The sequence below is a fragment of the Homo sapiens genome, chromosome 2, assembly GCF_000001405.40.
Source record: "Homo sapiens chromosome 2, GRCh38.p14 Primary Assembly".
NCBI classification, from domain to species: Eukaryota; Metazoa; Chordata; class Mammalia; order Primates; family Hominidae; genus Homo; species Homo sapiens.
Genome location: NC_000002.12, coordinates 42,478,290 through 42,495,503, shown reverse-complemented (window position 1 = coordinate 42,495,503; position 17,214 = coordinate 42,478,290). Strand labels below are relative to the sequence as shown.

The 17,214-nt window shown below is 45.9% G+C and overlaps 2 protein-coding genes across 4 annotated transcripts in view, besides 6 other annotated features; one reads left to right on the top strand and one right to left on the bottom strand.

Annotated features, from left to right (window-relative positions):
- MTA3 (metastasis associated 1 family member 3) overlaps positions 1 to 1,394 on the bottom strand; it is a 262,837-nt gene extending 261,443 nt beyond the window's left edge. Inside the window, exons 1-2 of the mRNA NM_001282755.2 lie at positions 498 to 1,394; positions 250 to 341 (exon numbers count right to left, since the gene is read on the bottom strand). The gene's annotated coding sequence lies outside the window, so the exon portion shown is untranslated. The remainder of the gene's footprint in view (positions 1 to 249; positions 342 to 497) is intronic.
- Positions 201 to 495: an enhancer, noted in NCBI's record as "tiled region #13941; K562 Activating DNase unmatched - State 4:PromP". NCBI's record gives its function as "activates a minimal TATA promoter and a strong SV40 promoter by Sharpr-MPRA in K562 cells {active_cell/tissue: K562}" and the evidence as "EXISTENCE:reporter gene assay evidence [ECO:0000049][PMID:27701403]".
- Positions 1,250 to 1,329: a silencer, noted in NCBI's record as "silent region_11406". NCBI's record gives its function as "represses an Ori minimal core promoter by ATAC-STARR-seq in GM12878 lymphoblastoid cells {active_cell/tissue: GM12878}" and the evidence as "EXISTENCE:reporter gene assay evidence [ECO:0000049][PMID:35858748]".
- Positions 1,420 to 1,469: a silencer, noted in NCBI's record as "silent region_11405". NCBI's record gives its function as "represses an Ori minimal core promoter by ATAC-STARR-seq in GM12878 lymphoblastoid cells {active_cell/tissue: GM12878}" and the evidence as "EXISTENCE:reporter gene assay evidence [ECO:0000049][PMID:35858748]".
- The window catches only part of KCNG3 (potassium voltage-gated channel modifier subfamily G member 3), a 105,631-nt gene continuing 89,938 nt past the window's right edge, over positions 1,522 to 17,214 (top strand). For 2 of the 3 annotated variants that reach the window (XR_007069666.1, NM_172344.3), the window contains exon 1: positions 1,522 to 2,634. Coding sequence is in view for 2 of the 3 variants with exons in the window: in NM_172344.3 (NP_758847.1) it covers positions 2,003 to 2,634 (632 nt within the window). In the remaining variant the exon portion in view is untranslated. Of the gene's footprint in view, positions 2,668 to 17,214 lie in introns of all 3 variants that reach the window. The other variant, NM_133329.6, reaches the window with a different exon arrangement.
- Positions 1,650 to 1,739: a silencer, noted in NCBI's record as "silent region_11404". NCBI's record gives its function as "represses an Ori minimal core promoter by ATAC-STARR-seq in GM12878 lymphoblastoid cells {active_cell/tissue: GM12878}" and the evidence as "EXISTENCE:reporter gene assay evidence [ECO:0000049][PMID:35858748]".
- Positions 1,820 to 2,577: an enhancer, noted in NCBI's record as "H3K27ac-H3K4me1 hESC enhancer chr2:42720067-42720824 (GRCh37/hg19 assembly coordinates)". NCBI's record gives its function as "activates a minimal SCP1, AML or CMV promoter by ChIP-STARR-seq in naive H9 embryonic stem cells {active_cell/tissue: H9 hESC(naive)}" and the evidence as "EXISTENCE:reporter gene assay evidence [ECO:0000049][PMID:30033119]".
- Positions 2,578 to 3,335: an enhancer, noted in NCBI's record as "H3K27ac-H3K4me1 hESC enhancer chr2:42719309-42720066 (GRCh37/hg19 assembly coordinates)". NCBI's record gives its function as "activates a minimal SCP1, AML or CMV promoter by ChIP-STARR-seq in naive H9 embryonic stem cells {active_cell/tissue: H9 hESC(naive)}" and the evidence as "EXISTENCE:reporter gene assay evidence [ECO:0000049][PMID:30033119]".

Genomic DNA, 17,214 nt, shown 5'->3' with positions numbered 1-17,214 from the left:
TATCTACTTAGTAGATACTAAACAGCAAAGTAGCAGTATCTACCCAGTAGACACTAAATAGCAAAATAGATACTGAATAGCAAACTATTTAGTAGATACTAAAGTAGCAAATAACTCCTGTTTTTGAGCTTTTAATCACATTTAGTGCTCTTAAGATAAATTATCCAAGTCTGGGGATAAACAACTCACAGAGATTTTCATTCTTTAAGAAGCCACCGAGAGTGATTTTACTTAAAAGACAGCACTCACATTTTCAGTTGTCTGCCTTTTCACTAGGAATCCACTTAAGAACCAGCGCAAAAGGACTCCGTTTGGCGACCTCTAGCGGGCACCGGACAATCCTACAAAATTACGAAAAGTAGAGGGCAATGAAAAACTCTTCCCTTTAACCAGCCAGGTTACCCTGTGGTCAGATGACCGCATCTCACCCTACCCCACCCTTATTTTTTTCTTCTAGTATTTGTTTTGCATCTAACACGGTTCGCCTTACAACTCACCTGTCTCGCCTCCGGCGGGCTGGGCTGCCGGTGTCGGGTGTCAGGTGAATGAATTGCTGGTAGCAGTTTAAAATAATCCCTGCCAAGTGGAACCCGCTTTCTGGGCACGGACAAGAGCGCGGGGTAGATCGCTCTGCGGAGCCTTCACGGGGCTCTTCCCGCTCGGAGGGCCGGTGCTGCAGCCGGGTCAGGGGTGCGCGGGGGAAATCAAGATATTTTGAAAAGGAGGATGCAGACGAAGACCAAGAGAAAGGCTGTTTTTGCCGGTGACAAGGCGTTCCTCCCCAGACTTTCATCCCACTCTAAGGGCAGCATCTCGAGAGGGTCCAGGCGCGCTACACGTTAGGCGCCTTCTCAGGACTCGCGCCCCAGAACGTGGGGGCCGGGGCCGGGTCGGGGACCGCTTCCCTCCGCGGGCTGGCAGGCGGCACCGAGGCTGGGGGATGGGGCGTGTAGCCGCCCTCTGAGCACGCGGTACGTGGGTCGCCCCGCGCGGCGGTAGGAAGAGCAAAGTCGGCAGGAAAAGCCGTGGCTGGGATGCCTTCCCTGAGAAATCCTTAGGGGCGATGTCAGAACCCGAGCTGGGCTCCGGACAGTTTCTGGAAAAAGCTCTCCAAACGCCGTCTGTCCCCGCACCCGAGTCCACACTGGGCTTTGAACCAGGGCTGTTAAAAGGGGCCCTGGGGACTGCCCAATTCATCCCGATGGCCCAGGGCAGGACGCGGGAGCAGGCATCCCGGCGCTGGGCTCCCCGCTCCCCCGCCCTGCGGACCCCTCCCCGCCACTACGGGCCGGAGCGGAGGGGGAGGACGGCGTCACGAGGCGGGGAGCCCGAGGTCCAGGGCGGGGCGCCCGGGAATCCCAGCCCGAGCAAGCCGGGGAGGTGCGGGCGCGGGCGGGAAGCGGAGGGCGGCGCGGAGGGAGGTGAGCGGCGCGCGCGGAGCCGGCGGGCGAGGAGGAGGACTGCACAGAGGCCCCGCCCCCGCCGCCGCGAGCCGGCTCTTCGCCGCCTCCGAACCCGCTCACTTTGCCTCTCGCCTCTGGACGGCGGCGGGGCGGCCGCCGGATTCGCGGCCGCAGGGAGCGCCGGAGACGGGGAGCTATTCCGCCCCGGCGGCTCCATTCGGCGCCCGCAGCCCTCAGGGGGTCGGCCCCGCGGCTTGGGAGAGGGCACCGCGGCCTCGGTGTGCGCAGCCCTCGGGCGCGAGGGTCGGCGGCGCGGACACAGCCGCGTTCCCAGCCGGTGGGGCTCAGCGCTGGCGCCGGCGAGGACTCCCCGGCCACCCGCAGGTACCGCCGGGCGGAGGGCGCGCTACTAGCAGCGCCGGAGATACTCGAGCCCAGGGACCCCCGGGCCAGCGGAGGGCAGGAGCGGAGCCCCGAGGGAGCGCGGGCCCCGACGGCGCGCTCCCCCGTCAGCCACGGGCAGGCAGGCCCCGCGTGGCGGCTTGGGGTGGGGGGCTGCAGCGGGGCCCTCGGGCCGAAAGTCCCCCGGGCGGCCAGCCATGACCTTCGGGCGCAGCGGGGCGGCCTCGGTGGTGCTGAACGTGGGCGGCGCCCGGTATTCGCTGTCCCGGGAGCTGCTGAAGGACTTCCCGCTGCGCCGCGTGAGCCGGCTGCACGGCTGCCGCTCCGAGCGCGACGTGCTCGAGGTGTGCGACGACTACGACCGCGAGCGCAACGAGTACTTCTTCGACCGGCACTCGGAGGCCTTCGGCTTCATCCTGCTCTACGTGCGCGGCCACGGCAAGCTGCGCTTCGCGCCGCGGATGTGCGAGCTCTCCTTCTACAACGAGATGATCTACTGGGGCCTGGAGGGCGCGCACCTCGAGTACTGCTGCCAGCGCCGCCTCGACGACCGCATGTCCGACACCTACACCTTCTACTCGGCCGACGAGCCGGGCGTGCTGGGCCGCGACGAGGCGCGCCCCGGCGGGGCCGAGGCGGCTCCCTCCAGGCGCTGGCTGGAGCGCATGCGGCGGACCTTCGAGGAGCCCACGTCGTCGCTGGCCGCGCAGATCCTGGCTAGCGTGTCGGTGGTGTTCGTGATCGTGTCCATGGTGGTGCTGTGCGCCAGCACGTTGCCCGACTGGCGCAACGCAGCCGCCGACAACCGCAGCCTGGATGACCGGAGCAGGTACTCCGCCGGCCCTGGGAGGGAGCCCTCCGGGTAGGACGCACTGCTTCTCTACCCGTCCCGTCCGTCCTGTCGCGTCTGTCCGTCCCGTCCATACGTCCCGTCTCCGTCCTGTCCGCCTCCGGGCGACCGAGCCAGCGGGGTGCGCGCCCAGCGAGGCCCAGGCGCGGCCAACTACGGGACCGGTCGGTCCCCACTCCTACCCCGTTGTCCGGGGCACCAGCGGGGTCTGGCCCTTACACTAGACGCACCTCTTGAGGGCGAAATCCTCAGGCATGGGGAGGGGCGTGTAGAGATAGACAAATGTCCCCTCTTTGTAGTTTACTTTTGCGCAGAGAGCAACCTGCTAATTACATTTTTCTGAACTTTTATTGTTAGGGTTCAACAATTAAGCCTTGAACTAAGCGCAGTTTGAATTATTTGCCAATTTTTGGTAGTGTTTGGAAAGATGGATTCTTGTTATGGTGAAATGTGCACTCTCCACACATTCTATACACTCTGCCCCCGGCATACTATGTGCTGTAATGGAATCGTTATATTATAAAGCAGGTTAATTTATCGATAGACTCTAAATAATGGATGTCTGTGCCCTTTTCTTCCCCCTTTTCCTACAAAGTATGGAGTTAGCAAACCTCTTGTCCACCGTTTGGTAGCAAAGATTCACACTGCGACTTTCAGAGGGTCTATGATATGGGAAGGGAAAAAACCATTACCTTGAGAACAAAGAAAAATCTAAACTGTCCTAAATCCAGAAAACAGTATTTGGGTAAATTTTTTTTTCTACTTTACTAGGATGAATGGGAAAATATTGCAGTCTTTTCTTAGACTGTCTTACCTTGAAGTGGTGATAGCACTTTCCTGTTTTTAGTACAAGTGAGCATATTCAGTGGGAGGAATAAGCAGACTAAGGATGGACTTTCAAAGAAGACAGCCTTTTGGGGCACAAAACCCAAACTGCATATTATAGTTTATCTGTTTGACACTGTCTTAAGATCCTCCTTCCATTCATTTTTTAAATTTAAGGTTGTGCCCTGTCATGTTTTACTGATAGGCATGTACATGTTCGGAACGGCGGCCTTGCTATTGCAGTGGATTACTTCTACATAATATTCTTCCTGTAGGGAGTAAGGATTTTTATATAAATCTAAGAAGTAAATAAAATTGTCTAGTGCCACGGAGTCTATTATTTCTTCTTGGCTTGAAATCGAAGATACATGCTTTGAAAGGAAATTCATTAGGAAACTCATTTTGTTTAGTGAATTAGGTTCTAACAGTTTTGAATTTACAGATAAGAGTTACTTATTTGGTTCTCCAACAATACAATGAAATTAATTTATTTACCTAAATACATAAATGCCTTTTTTTTTTAAGGAGGGCTTTAGGAAAATGGACTTGGAATTTTGATTCTCCAGTAACTGTAGAATTCTAAGGTTAGTGAAGGTTTGAGCTACATTAGCAAAGGAAACAGGAGAATTGAATTATTATTAGTGCAGATAATGAGGGAGTTGACTGAACCAGTATATGAGCAAAACCAGTAAAATACCTCAAATATAATCTTAGGGGGAGGGAGGGTGTTTTGGGAGAGGGAAAGGGCCATATGGAGATCATTAATGTAAAGCATTTGTAAAGAAATGAGAGAAATGCATAGTAATTTTAGGGAGAGAAACACAAGAAACAAAAAAGGGAAGACAGAGATGGAAAAGAGGGAGACTGCAAAAGAAGTGAAGGGAGAAAAGTAATGCTTATTTGTGTATATGTATTTTATGTATGTGTATAATTATTCAAGTCAGAGCTGTTTCCTAGATACTTAGATATTTCAGGCAAAAGCATGTTTTTCTTAGCTTAATGGCCCAGTTTTAGCTTCACTGTCTGAGTGTAGGTATATGAAAACCAATATCTGCAATCCCAAACAGATAAACTGCAGGATGGCCGAATGAGGATGCTGCTCATTACAGAGGAAGCTCCCCTCTGCCCTTCAACAGAGAGGGCCCTTAACCTGTCACTTTAAGTATAGTCGTTAAAACCCTGCTTGCTTGTGGTTGCTGAAATTAGTCTTTCTAAAACATCATTCTCATTATTTGACCATATTTTGCATCTGCCAAATAAAGCCAAAACTTCTTTCTTGGCCTTCAAGGCTCTTTACAGTTTGATGACAACCTGCCGATCTTGACTTACTCCATCATAGTTTGCAAACATCTTTTGAATATCTGTTATGTTCAAGGCACTGCTGGTGTTCCAAATATTGTAACTTTCTGTTGTAAAGAAAAGTTGGTGTCAAGTTGGTGGTGTAGGAATCAGAGGCACAATTGATCTCTGAGAGTTCCGTTGTTCAGAGAAGGCCTTCAGGGTGGTGGAGGATGGAAACAAACCATGGTTGGAAGGTTGCAGAGGTTGTGCACTGCCCAAACTAGCAGGGAGTGTCATTTATTTTATTTTATTTTATTTTTTGCATTTTTAGTAGAGATGGGGTTTCTCCATGTTGGTCAGACTGGTCTCGAACTCCTGACCTCAGGTGATCCACCCGTGTCGGCCTTCCAAAGTGCTAGGACTACAGGCGTGAGCCACCGCGCCTGGCCAGGGAGTGTCATTTATATAAATTCTAGTTAATGCAACCTGTACAACCATATGTGCCCTGCCTGGGAACAAAATAAAAGAGATTTTTTAAGATAAAAGGAACATCGTGGGCAAGAAACTTGTATATGAAGTTTATGGAAGCGTGAGTCCAGTGATGGAGTGAGAGGTGGATAGAGAGCAGATGACAGAAGGCCTTGAATTCCAGGGAGAATAATTTTATTTTGCAGGCAGTGGCTAGCCATTAGCCAGTTTTGTGTTTAGGGTAAATGGGTTATGCATATAAAGTAGTACATGTGGTACATGTGTTCTGTGATTTGGAGAGAGGGAAGATTGTACACAGGAAGATGAGTTGGAGATCTTCCCAGAGGGAGGGGATGAGAGCTTGGATGGCTTTGTGGTGGTGGAGAAATGGAGGAGAAATGACAACTCTGGAAAATACCAGGAAGAGTCAAAATTAATCCAGGGCATTGGAAGGGCACAGGCATCAGGGACTGATGAAGTGGACTTTCCAGGAGTTAACAGTATCCTCTGCCACTTGCAGTCTTCATTTGTCCAGCCTGGCCTGCTTACTTCTTCCTGAGCCACTCAAATGTCCCTTACTGTGCAATGCCTAGCCTGCTGAAATTGGATTATTCATCAAGCCCAATTCAGATTCTATTCCTCTCTTGAAGCATTTACTGATCACCCTAGTGGATGTGATGTTTCCTCCTGAACTCCTTAAGGAATTGCTTATTTGTACTATTTATTTGGCATCTATGATATCCTTCTTAGCGTGATGGTTATATTTTCATATAAACATATCCTGGCTCCTAAGTTGGATTAGATAAAAAGTCCTAGAAGGCAGGTAAATTCTCTTATACTATTTGTTATTAAAACATCTTTTATTTTGTATTTTTGTTGATTGATTGAGAAGAGATCTCACTCTGTCACCCAGGCCGGAGTGCAGTGGTGCGATCAAGCCCACTGCAGCCTGGAACTCCTGGAGTCAGGTGATTTTCCCACCTCAGCCTGTGGAGTAGCTGGGACCACAGGCATGAGCTACCACGCCCAGTGAATTAAGAACATTTTTTGTAGACATGGGGTCTCACAGGCCAGGCGTGGTGGCTCACGCCTGTAATCCCAGCACTTTGGGAGGCCGAGGTGGGCAGATCACAAGGTCAGGAGTTCGATATGGGGTCTTACTATGTTGCCCAGGCCTGTTGTGAACTCCTGGCTTCAAGCAATCCTACCACCTTGGCCTCCCAAAGTATTGGGATTACAGGTGTGAGCCACTGTGCCCAGCTGAAATACTAGGAAATAATTCTTAGTACTTGCCAGAGTTGTCATTTCTCCACTACCGCAAAAATTGCTATTCAGGCACCATAAATATCTATTGTTTATATAACATTTCAAAATATAACCTTCCAGAACTATATCTTCTATTGTATAATTTAAAATGCTGTTTGGGGCCAGGCGTGGTGGCTCACGCCTGTAATTCCAGCACTTTGGGAGGCCGAGGCAGGCGGATCACCTGAGGTCAGGAGTTCGAGACCAGCCAGACCAACATGGTGAAACCCCGTCTCTACTAAAAATACAAAAATTAGCTGAGCGTGGTGGTGGGTGACTGCAATCCCAGCTACTCAGGAGGCTGAGGCAGGAGAATCACTTGAACCTGGGAGGCGGAGGTTGCAGTAAGCCGATATCACGCTACTGCACTCCAGCCTGGGCGATAAAGTGAGACTGAGTCTCAAAAAAAAAAAAAAAGAAAAGAAAATGAATAAGGTCTATCAGGAAACAGCCTGTTGTCCCAGCTACTCCAGAGGCTGAGGTGGGAGGATCACCTGAGCCCAGGAGTTGAAGGCTGCAGTGAACTATGATTCAGCAACTGCACTCCAGCCTAGGCAGCAGGGAGACCCTGTCTCAAAACAAAACAACAAAAAAATCAAGGAACAATTATTTATCAAGTACTTAATGGTACGAAAGGAATAAAGATAAGAGTATGGTTTACTTTTATGAACCTCCGAAATTTTGGCACAGTGCACAATCTAAAGTTTGGAAGAAATCTTAGGTCTTCCAAAGCAATATTTTAGAACTTTTTATGTATGAGGATAATCCTTTTAAATTGATTTGTTTTAGATGGTTAATAATCATATAAAAACGGTTCAAAATCTAAAAGCTACAAAACTAAGCCTTTCTCCATTCTTCCAGCCATTCAGTTCTTTTCCCTAGATGTAACCAAAGTTACTAGTTTTTGGTTTGTCATTTCAGAGACATTTTATATATTTGTAAGTACATTATATATATTTACAAAAGCCAGAAATACAGTGTAATACACAGTCCTGAAACTTGCTTTTTAACTAACAGTGTGTCATGTAGATCATTCCATGTGAGTCCAAGAGCTCCCTGATTCTGCAGCTTCGTAGTATTCTACTGTAGAGATGGCCCATAGTCACTATACATTTATGTCGTTTCTTGTCTGTAGTAAACGCTGCAGTGATTATCCTGTTCATATATATTTTACTTCTTTTATGCAGGTATATCCATAGGATACATTCCTGAGAGTTAAATCATTGGGTCAAAGGAGATATGCACTTGTAATTTTCACAGATAATTCCAAACTACTCTCCAAAAAGATTGTACTGTATCAATTTATGCTTCCACCAGCAATATAGGAGAGAGCGTGTTTCTGCATACTCTGCAAAGTATTTGATCTTTACTATGCTGAAAAGTGAAAAATGGTATCCAGTAGTTTTGTTTTATTTTGAGCAAGATTTTGCATCTTTACATATATTGAGGAGTCATTCATCTTGCTTTTAAAAATGAGATATTTATACCTTTTTCTGGTTTTGTCAATGACTTTCTTAGTTTGAAGATTAAAAATAATATTAAGGTTGCAGTGAGCTGAGCTCACGCCACTGCATTCCAGCCTGAGTGACAGAGCAAGACTCCATCTCAAAAAAAAAAAAAAAGAAAGAAAAAAAAAAGAAATTAGCTCTTTTTATGATATTAGTTGCAAATACTTTGTTTTCTAATTTAGGACCCCATTAAAAGACAACTACAATTGCCTAAAACATAGTAGCTGCACTTTCACTATCTATTTGTTGAGCAAAAATGCATAATGATTAAAAAAAATTGTGAATTCTTTTTTTTTTTTTTTTTTGAGACAGAGTCTTGCTCTGTCACCCAGGCTGGAGTGCAGTGGCACGATCTCAGCTCACTGCAACCTCTGCCTCCTGGGTTCAAGCGATTCTTCTGTCTCAGCCTCCCAACTAGCTGGGATTACAGGTATCCGCCACCATGCCCGGCTAATTTTTGTATTTTTAGTAGAGATGGGGTTTAACCATATTGGCCAGGCTGGTCTCAAACTCCTGACCTTGTGATCCACCTGCCTCTGCCTCCCAAAGTGCTGGGATTACGGGAGTGAGCCACCGTGCCAGACCAATAATTGTGAATTCTAACCATTCATCAACTCTTGAGCTCCTGTGATTGTGCCAGGCGCTGTGCCAGACAGTATGGGCACAGAGGTTCCTACAAAGGGTTCCTGCTGTCATGGAGCTGGGCAGTTAGTGGTGATAGAAGCAGACAGCACAGTAAGCAAATCATTTCAGATTGTGAAAGGTGACGTGAGTTGAGTGAGAAGAGTGTTCTGGGTAGAGGGAGCAGCTAATGCAAAGATGCCACTGAGATGGCAATGGGCTGGGCTTGTCTACAGGACAGAAGGAAGGCCCATGTGGGCTATAGTTTTGTCCAAGGGTAGATGAGGTTGGAGGGCAATGGGACCTATCAGGCAGGGCCTGTGTGCCATGGGAAGGAGTTTGGATTTTCTTCCAAATGTGACAGGGAGGTCTTTGGAAGGTTTTAAGCAGATGAAAGCTATGATATGTGTTTTAAAAACACCACTGGGTAGAGAATGAAGGGAGGGTCAACAGCAGATGTGGAGAGACCTGGCAGCTGAGAGCATATGGACCTTGATCTTAGGGAATAGCAGTGGAGACGGTGAGACGTGACTGGATTCAGGTGAATTATGTGGGTGTTATTATGTCATTAATGACAGCTCACCTACCAGGACTAGGAGAGTGTATGAGATATTTATTGTGTGAAGCTGTGCTAGGGCCCACAGGCACTGGGGACCCTCTCGCTTGACTACTTTGGCTCACACACAGTAAGCCTGAATCCAGTTCTTTTTCTACAGGATCTGCTTCCCATTTGGGGATATTGTGGGGAGCAGACTCTGGAAGAGGGATCTCCAGCATGTTGGTGGGAGAAGGATCATAGATGTCTTTCCTTACTTTACAACTGAGTTTAGTCCTCATTGAGAGGACTGTCTCACCTGTTAAAGATAATAGTGAGCACATTCACAATCTCCCTTGATAAACAGTTCTAGTAATGAATTAATCTTAGAATGGTGATGTTCTTAATGTTTTATCTGATTATTAAGATAAACTAGATTTTTCAGGCAGTTTGCCTTCTAGTAACATCTGAGTATTATTCTGACACTTCCAAGGAGATTAATGTTCTGTTTCTCATTTTAACATATAGACAAGTTGTTTTTTAAAATGACTAAGCATTTGCCGGGCACGGTGGCTCATGCCTGTAATCCCAGCACTTTGGGAGGCCGAGGCGGGTGGATCACGAGGTCAGGAGATCGAGACCATCCTGGCTAACACGGTGAGACCCCGTCTCTGCTAAAAATACAAAAACAAAATTAGCTAGGCATGGTGGCGGGCGCCTGTAGTCCGAGCTACTCGGGAGGCTGAGGTGGGAGAATGGCGTGAACCCAGGAGGCAGAGCTTGCGGTGAGCCGAGATAACACTACTGCACTCCAGCCTGGGTGACAGAGTGAGACTCCGTCTTAAAAAAAAAAAAATGCTCTTTGCTGGCAGCATTTGAGAAGTTGTGACTTCTGAAAGGTCAGACATAAAGTAGTGTCCCCTTTTGTTTTTTGGTCCCTTTTGCCTATAGACTTTGTCCCCTTAGTCAATCTCAGCTTAAGTGTTCTTGTTTGAGTTTTAAATCTCTTTAGCAGGCAAAGTCTTGCTATAATTTTGATCTGCTCTTTAGAAATTTTTTTCTAAAAGTTGCTTCATGTTGGAATTTTGATCTTTAATTGGTATTGCTTTGTGTTGTGGTGGTGAGAATTTGAGATTTTTAAAATGTTAAAATTTCTTGTGTTATTTTAATCCTCAATTAAAAAAATTAAATGATCAAAATGAAACACCAGGTGATGGAAATTTAAATTTCAATTATATTATTTCGATTGCCTTTCAGTTCAATACTGCATAAATCCAATAGGTTTTAAGTACTTTAAAAATAAAAAGCAGTATTTGAAACTGAAGATGAAAGTCTTAGTGCTTTTACTGTGCAGATAAGGTGGATATTTTCAGAAGTCAGTAATTACTAGATCTCTGATAGGATTGTACATAACCCAGAACCTCAGTTAAATTCTGTTCTTTCACAGTAGACTGTTTCTTTTAATGTGTACAGGCTGCTGCCAATTTTAGAATTCAGTGGAAACTTTCTTTTGTCAATGCCCTTTCTGTAACCAGAGTGCTTCTTTTTTCCCTACCTTTTGGTAAGCAAGTTATTTTCAACATTATTCTTTTTATATTTGTAAAATTAGAACTTTCTTCATCGGAAAAAAAGTGTTAAAATGTGAAAAGTTAACTTGCCCTATCTCTTCAATCCCACCACCCAGTTTCTGGGTATTCTTCGAGAAACTTTCCATGCACATATGAACATATATACACATGTGCGTGTACACACACACACAAACACATACATGCAAGTGTATACAATTACATATATATACACACATACAGATTTTCTCTTTTATTATTTATTTATTTATTTTTTCTTCAGACGGAGTCTCGCTCTGTTGCCAGGCTGGAGTGCAGTGGCACGATCTCGGCTCACTGCAATCTCCGCCTCCCTGGTTCAAGCAATTCTCCTGCCTCAGCCCCCCGAGTAGCTGGGACTACAGGTGTGCACCACCATGTCCAGCTAATTTTTGTATTTTTAATAGAGATGGAGTTTCACCATGTTGGCCAGGCTGGTCTCGAACTCCTGACCTCAGGTGATCCACCCTCCTCGGCCTCCCAAAATGCTAGGATTACAGGTGTGAGCCACAGCACCCGGTCAGATTTTCTCTTTTAAATACATAATTGGGATTGTTCTATGATCTTGTTCAGCAATTGGCCTTTTTTACTTAATGATACATTTTGAAACTCTTTTCATGCCAGGAGCAGGGGCTTAGGCCTGTAGTCCTAGCACTTTAGGAGGCCTGAGGCGAGAGGATCGCTTGAGCTCAGGAGTTCGAGACCAGCCTGGGCAACATGGCGAAATCCCGTCTCTACAAAATTTAGCCGGGTGTGGTGACGTGCTCCTGTAATCCCAGGTACTCAGGAGTCTGAGGTAGGAGGATCACTTGAACCTAGAAGTTAGAGGCTGCAATGAGCCGTGATTGTGGCACTGCACTCCAGCTTGGGTGACAGAGCAAGACCCTGTCTCGAAAAGAAAGAAAGAAAAGAAACTCTTTTCATATTAGTTCTTATAAATCTCCCCCATTCTTTAAATATTTGTATAGCATTCCACTGCATGGATGTGCCATAATTCATTTAATAAATGTCTCATCTGATGATAATAGTAATGATTGTAACAGTTAATATTTATTGAATACTGACATGTGTTTTGTCGTCTAAGTCTCATTACAGTCCTATGAAGTAGTGCTGTTACCCAGTTTTATGCCTGAGATTTAGGTACTTTATCCAATATGTCCAGACTCACACAGTGGGTCAGTGGCGCCCTGGGCTCTGATTCCCATGCTCCCACTCTACTCTGCTGAGAAATGCTTAGTTTGATACTAGTTTTTCAAAAGTGCAAACAGTGGCACAGAACACGATCATTTCCACATATCCTTGCAAATTGGTGTGAGTATATATTTAGGCTAAATTCCAAAGTGGAAAATAGCTGAGTTAAAAGGATTGTGCTTTAAACATTTTTTGATAGATACTGCTAAATTTCCGTCTAAAATATGCAAGTCAGAACTATTCTTTATTGATGATAACCATCATCATATGCAGTTAGTAATGAATAGGATCCTATATTAATAACACATTTAATAGCACATTTAATAGCAAACATCTGGAAACAACGTAATTAAAAAAATAGAACAGCTGTTTTTTTATTTTTATTTTTTTGAGACAGGGTCTTGATCTGTCACCCAGGCTGGATTGCAGTGGTACAGTCTCCTTTCACTGCAACCTCTGCCTCCCTGGCTCTGGCGATCCTCCCACTGTAGCCTCCCAAGTAGCTGGGACTACAGGCACACACCACCGTGCCTGGCTAATTTTTATATTTTTTGTAGAGATGGGATCTTGCTATATTGTCCGGGCTGGTCTTGAACTCCTGGACTTGAGTGATCCATGTATCTCGGTCTCCCAAAGTGTTGGGATTATAGGCATGAGCCACTGTGCCTGGCCTAGAATAGCTTTATTGAGATATAATTCACATACCATAAAATGCAGTGGTTTTTGGGATATTTACAAGATTGTGCAACCGTCACCATCTAGAGTGTTTTTGTTTTTGTTTTGAGGTGGAGTCTTGCTCTGTTTGCCAGGCTGGAGTGCAGTGGTGCAATCTCAGCTCACTGCAACCTCAGCCTCCCGGGTTCAAGCGATTCTTGTGCCTCAGCCCCCTGAGTAGCTGGGATTACAGGGGTGTGCCACCATGCCCAGGCCCGGCTAATTTTTGTATTTTTAGTAGAGACGGAGTTTCACCGTGTTGGCTAGGCTGGTCTTGAACTCCTGACCTTGTGATCCACCCACCTTGGCCTCCCAAAGTGCTGGGATTACAGGTGTGAGCCACTGCGTCTGGCCTACTGCCTGGCTAATTTTTAAATTTTTTGTAGAGACAGAGTCTCTCTGTGTTTCCATTCTGGTCTTGAACTTCTGGCCTCAAGCAATTCTCCTGCCTTGGCCTCCCAAAGTGTTGGGATTATAGGCATGAGCCACTATGCCCGATCTGTAGGTTATATTTTTAAAAATCAATTGCAAGTTGGTTTTATGGCTCCCCATTCATGTATTCGTTAAATTCAACAAACATTTATTGAGCACCGACTATGTATTTAGGACTGTTTTAGGTGTTGGGGATATAGCAGTGAATAAAACAAAGTCCTTGCTTTCAATGACCACCTATTCTATTAAATAAATACATAACACTGTAGTCCCAGCTGTTTGGGAGGCTGAGGCAGGCAGTTTGTTTGAGCCCAGGAGTTTGAAGCCAGCCTGGGCAACATAGTGAGATCCCATCTCAAAAGAAAAAACACAATGTAAGTTATCTTTCATGGGATTAGAGAAAAACAACAACAAGAAAAACCCAGAGGGCGATAAGTGTTATGAAGTAATAAGTCAGAATAAGGGGTGTGCAGAGTGTAAGTGTGCGCCATGATTAGTACAGGCCTCTGTGATAGGTGATGCCTGAATAGGGTCCTGGAGGGATGCAGGAGGCACCTGGGAAGATAGCTGGGTGAAAGAGTTTTAAGCATAGAGAAGAGGAAGCACAAACCAATCCCTGAGGCGGATATGTCTTTGGTCAATTGGAGCAACAGGAAGGAAACCGAGAGAGGTGAGAGTGGTGGGGAATGCGGGGGAAGGCAGGGGACGTGTAGCCCAGGAAGCGCCTTATAGATGCACCAACTAAAAGGATTTAGGTTTGATTGTTTTCTTTTTACCATTTGTTAAGGATTTTGGATTTATATCTGAATGTGGGTTTTGAGGAGAATAGAGAATTTGGCTTAATTTTAAAAGGTCGCTTTGGTCTGCATGTGGAGTATAGACTCCAGGGTCCTGCAAGGGTGGAGCCAGTGAAGCCAGTTAGAACCTCAGTAAGAGATGCAGGGTGGGTTTCTTGGCTAGCTCACAGAAGCCTTTGGTACTGGTATTTGGTTTCTCCTGGATGGTCAAGGACTTCCTTGAGTCCTGGGTTCAGGCAGCTAAAGGTCCTGTTGATCCAGGCTGTGGTGTCAGGGTTTCCCTTTTTCTGGGTAAAGATATTCTTATAATCAGCCAAGTGAGCCTCTGGCCTCATGGTATGACAAGGGTCTCTACTCATCCCCCACACACTTTGTTGCAGGACCAATGGGAGTCTGGAGCTGGGGTGGGCAGACTATAACCCGCAGACGAACTCAGGCCCACTGCCTGGTTTTTGTGTAGCCCCTGAACTAAGTAAGAATGGATTTTGGCCAGGCGCAGTGGCTCATGCCTGAAATCCCAGCACTTTGGGAGGGTGAGGCGGGCAAATCACCTGAGGTCAGGAGTTCGAGACCAGCTTGGCCAACATGGCGAAACCCTGTCTCTACTAAAAATAGAAAAATTAGCCAGGTGTGATGGTGCATGCCTGTAATCCCAGCTACTAGGGAGACTGAGGCACAAAAATTGCTTGAACCCAGGTGGAGGTTGCAGTGAGCCAAGATCACGCCACTGCACTCTAGCCTGGGCAACAGAGCAAGACTCCATCTCAAAGAAAAAAAAAGGATTTTACTTTTTTTTTTTTTTTTTTTTTAAGATGGGGTTTCAATATGCTGCCTAGGCTGGTCTTGAACTCGAGCTGAAAGGCTCTTCCTATCTCAGCCTTATGAGTAGTTATGGTTTTTACATTTTGTAAATGTTGAAAAAAAATTGAAAGAAGAATATTTTGTGACTCGTGAACACTACATGACATTCACATTTTAGTGTCCATAAATAAAGTTTTATTGGAACACAGCCACACTCATTCTTTTACATATTGTTTATGGCAGCTTTCCTACTACTTTGGCAGAGGTGGGTAGTTGCAATAGAAACTGTATGGCCTGAAAAGCCTAAAATATTTACTATCTGGCCCTTTATAGGAAACATTTGCCAACCCCTGATTTAGAATGGTGGTGCCACCCAGGCCTGGACTTAACACTTTACCAGTGTCTAGCTACAGGACCTCAGGCACGTTCTTTCCCTAAGGCTGAGTTTGCTTGTCTGTAAGATGGGGATAATGAGAGTACCTGTGATATTTGGTGGCTTCCAGGATCAGGAAGTGATGCCTGATTCTAGTCTTCTAACCAGCCATGCTAAGCGCCCTTGGATCCAACTGAGGACCACCCTGACTTACAGAGTGTTCTATTTCCCCAAAGTACTAAACAATAATTAGAACTTATTGAATCATGATAGTTCTGGTAGAACAGGGGCTTTTATGGTTGGTGTGGGATATCAAGTATTTAGAAGTTAAGTACTATCTGTGTGTGTTTTTGTTTGTTTGTTTTTGTTTTCTAATTTGAGACAGAGTCTTGCTCTGTCACCCAGGCTGGAGTGCAATGGTGCATGCAATCTCAGCTCACTGCAACCTCCACCTCCTGGGTTCAAGCAATTCTTGTGCCTCAGCCTCCTGAGTAGGTGGGGTTACAGACATGTACCAACACGCCTGGCTAATTTTTGTTATTTTTAGTAGAGACAGGGTTTCACCATGTTGCCCAGGCAGGTCTTGAACTCCTGGCCTCAAGTGATTTGCCCGCCTTGGCCTCCCAAAGTGCTGGGATTACAGGCGTGAGTCACCCCGCCTGCCTGATTTGTGTTAATTTCAGAGATGCTTAAGCCTCATTTATGCCACTCTTTTTTTCTTTATTTTTCTTTCTTTTTTTTTTTTTTTGAGACAGGGTCTTATTTTGTCACCCAGACTGAAGTGCAGTGGTGCTATCTTGGCTCACTGCAGCCTCGACCTACTGAGCTCAAGCGACCCTCCTGCCTCAGCCCCCCAAGTGGCTGGGACTACAAGCATGCACCACCATGCCCAGCTAATTTTGTTGAATTTTTGTAGAGATGGGGTTTTGCTCAGTTGCCCAGAACTGGTCTCAAACTCCCTAGCTCAAGGGATTTGCCCACCTTGGCCTCCCAAAGTGTTGGGATTATAGGTGTGAGTGACTAAGCCTGGCTATTCCACTTTTATATGACGATATTCATGCTTGAGCTCCACCTTGGAAAATACCAGGATTCACTACTTGGAGCTGATTGTGAGATGGCAAGTTACTTCTGGGTTCTAGTAAGTGCTTTATTCTTTGTATCTATCCTAGAGAAAGAAAGTTTAGCTATTCTTGAGTCTGACTTCGTAAATCTGGTGGCTGGGGAGGCAATGTGTGATCAAAACTGGGATTCAGGAGATAGGTGCTACAGATTGAGCGTCCCAAATCTGAAAATCCAAAACGTGCCAAAATCTGAAACTTTTTTAGTGCTGACATGATGCTCAAAGGAAATGCTCATTGGAGTATTTTGGATTTCGAATTTGGGATACTCAAGTGGTATTATGCAAATACTCCAAAATCCAAAAAAAAAAAAAAAAAATTCAAACTCTGAAATACTTCTAGTCCCAACCATATTAGAAGAGATACTCAACCTGTATTAAATCAGGGACAGCTGTTTTAGTAATGTATTAAAAGTTTATGATTTTATATGAAATAAACTGGGATGCACACTTTAAGAAAGGAAGTGAGTTATATGTGTTAATATTACCCAGTAACTCTTGAGGCATAACCAAGACGGGACCCTTGCCCTCAAGTAGCCATAGAGCCATCTATGAGAGAAGGTGAGATGGTGCCGCTGTGGAAGGCAGTGCAGGTGGGGGACAGAACTAACACAGCCTGGGGTGTCCCAGAAGGGCTTCTGAGGTTATGTCATTTGAGTGACACCAAACTGTGTTAGTTTTTATATCCTCCACTACCATGTACTCAATTTTTTTTTTTTAAGCTTTACCTAAGAATGTCTTTGACAGGCCAGGTGTGGTGACTCAGACCTGTAATCCTAGCACTTTGGGAGGCCTAGGTGGGAGGATCACTTGAGCCCAGGAGTTCAAGACCAGCCTGGGCAATATCATGAGACCTCTTCTCTACAAATTAAGAAAATTAGCTAGGCATGGTGACGTGCACTACTCCCAGCTACTCAGGAGGCTGAAGTGGGAGAATTGCTTGAGCCCAGGAGGTCGGGGCTGCAGTGAGCCATGAAGGTGCCATTG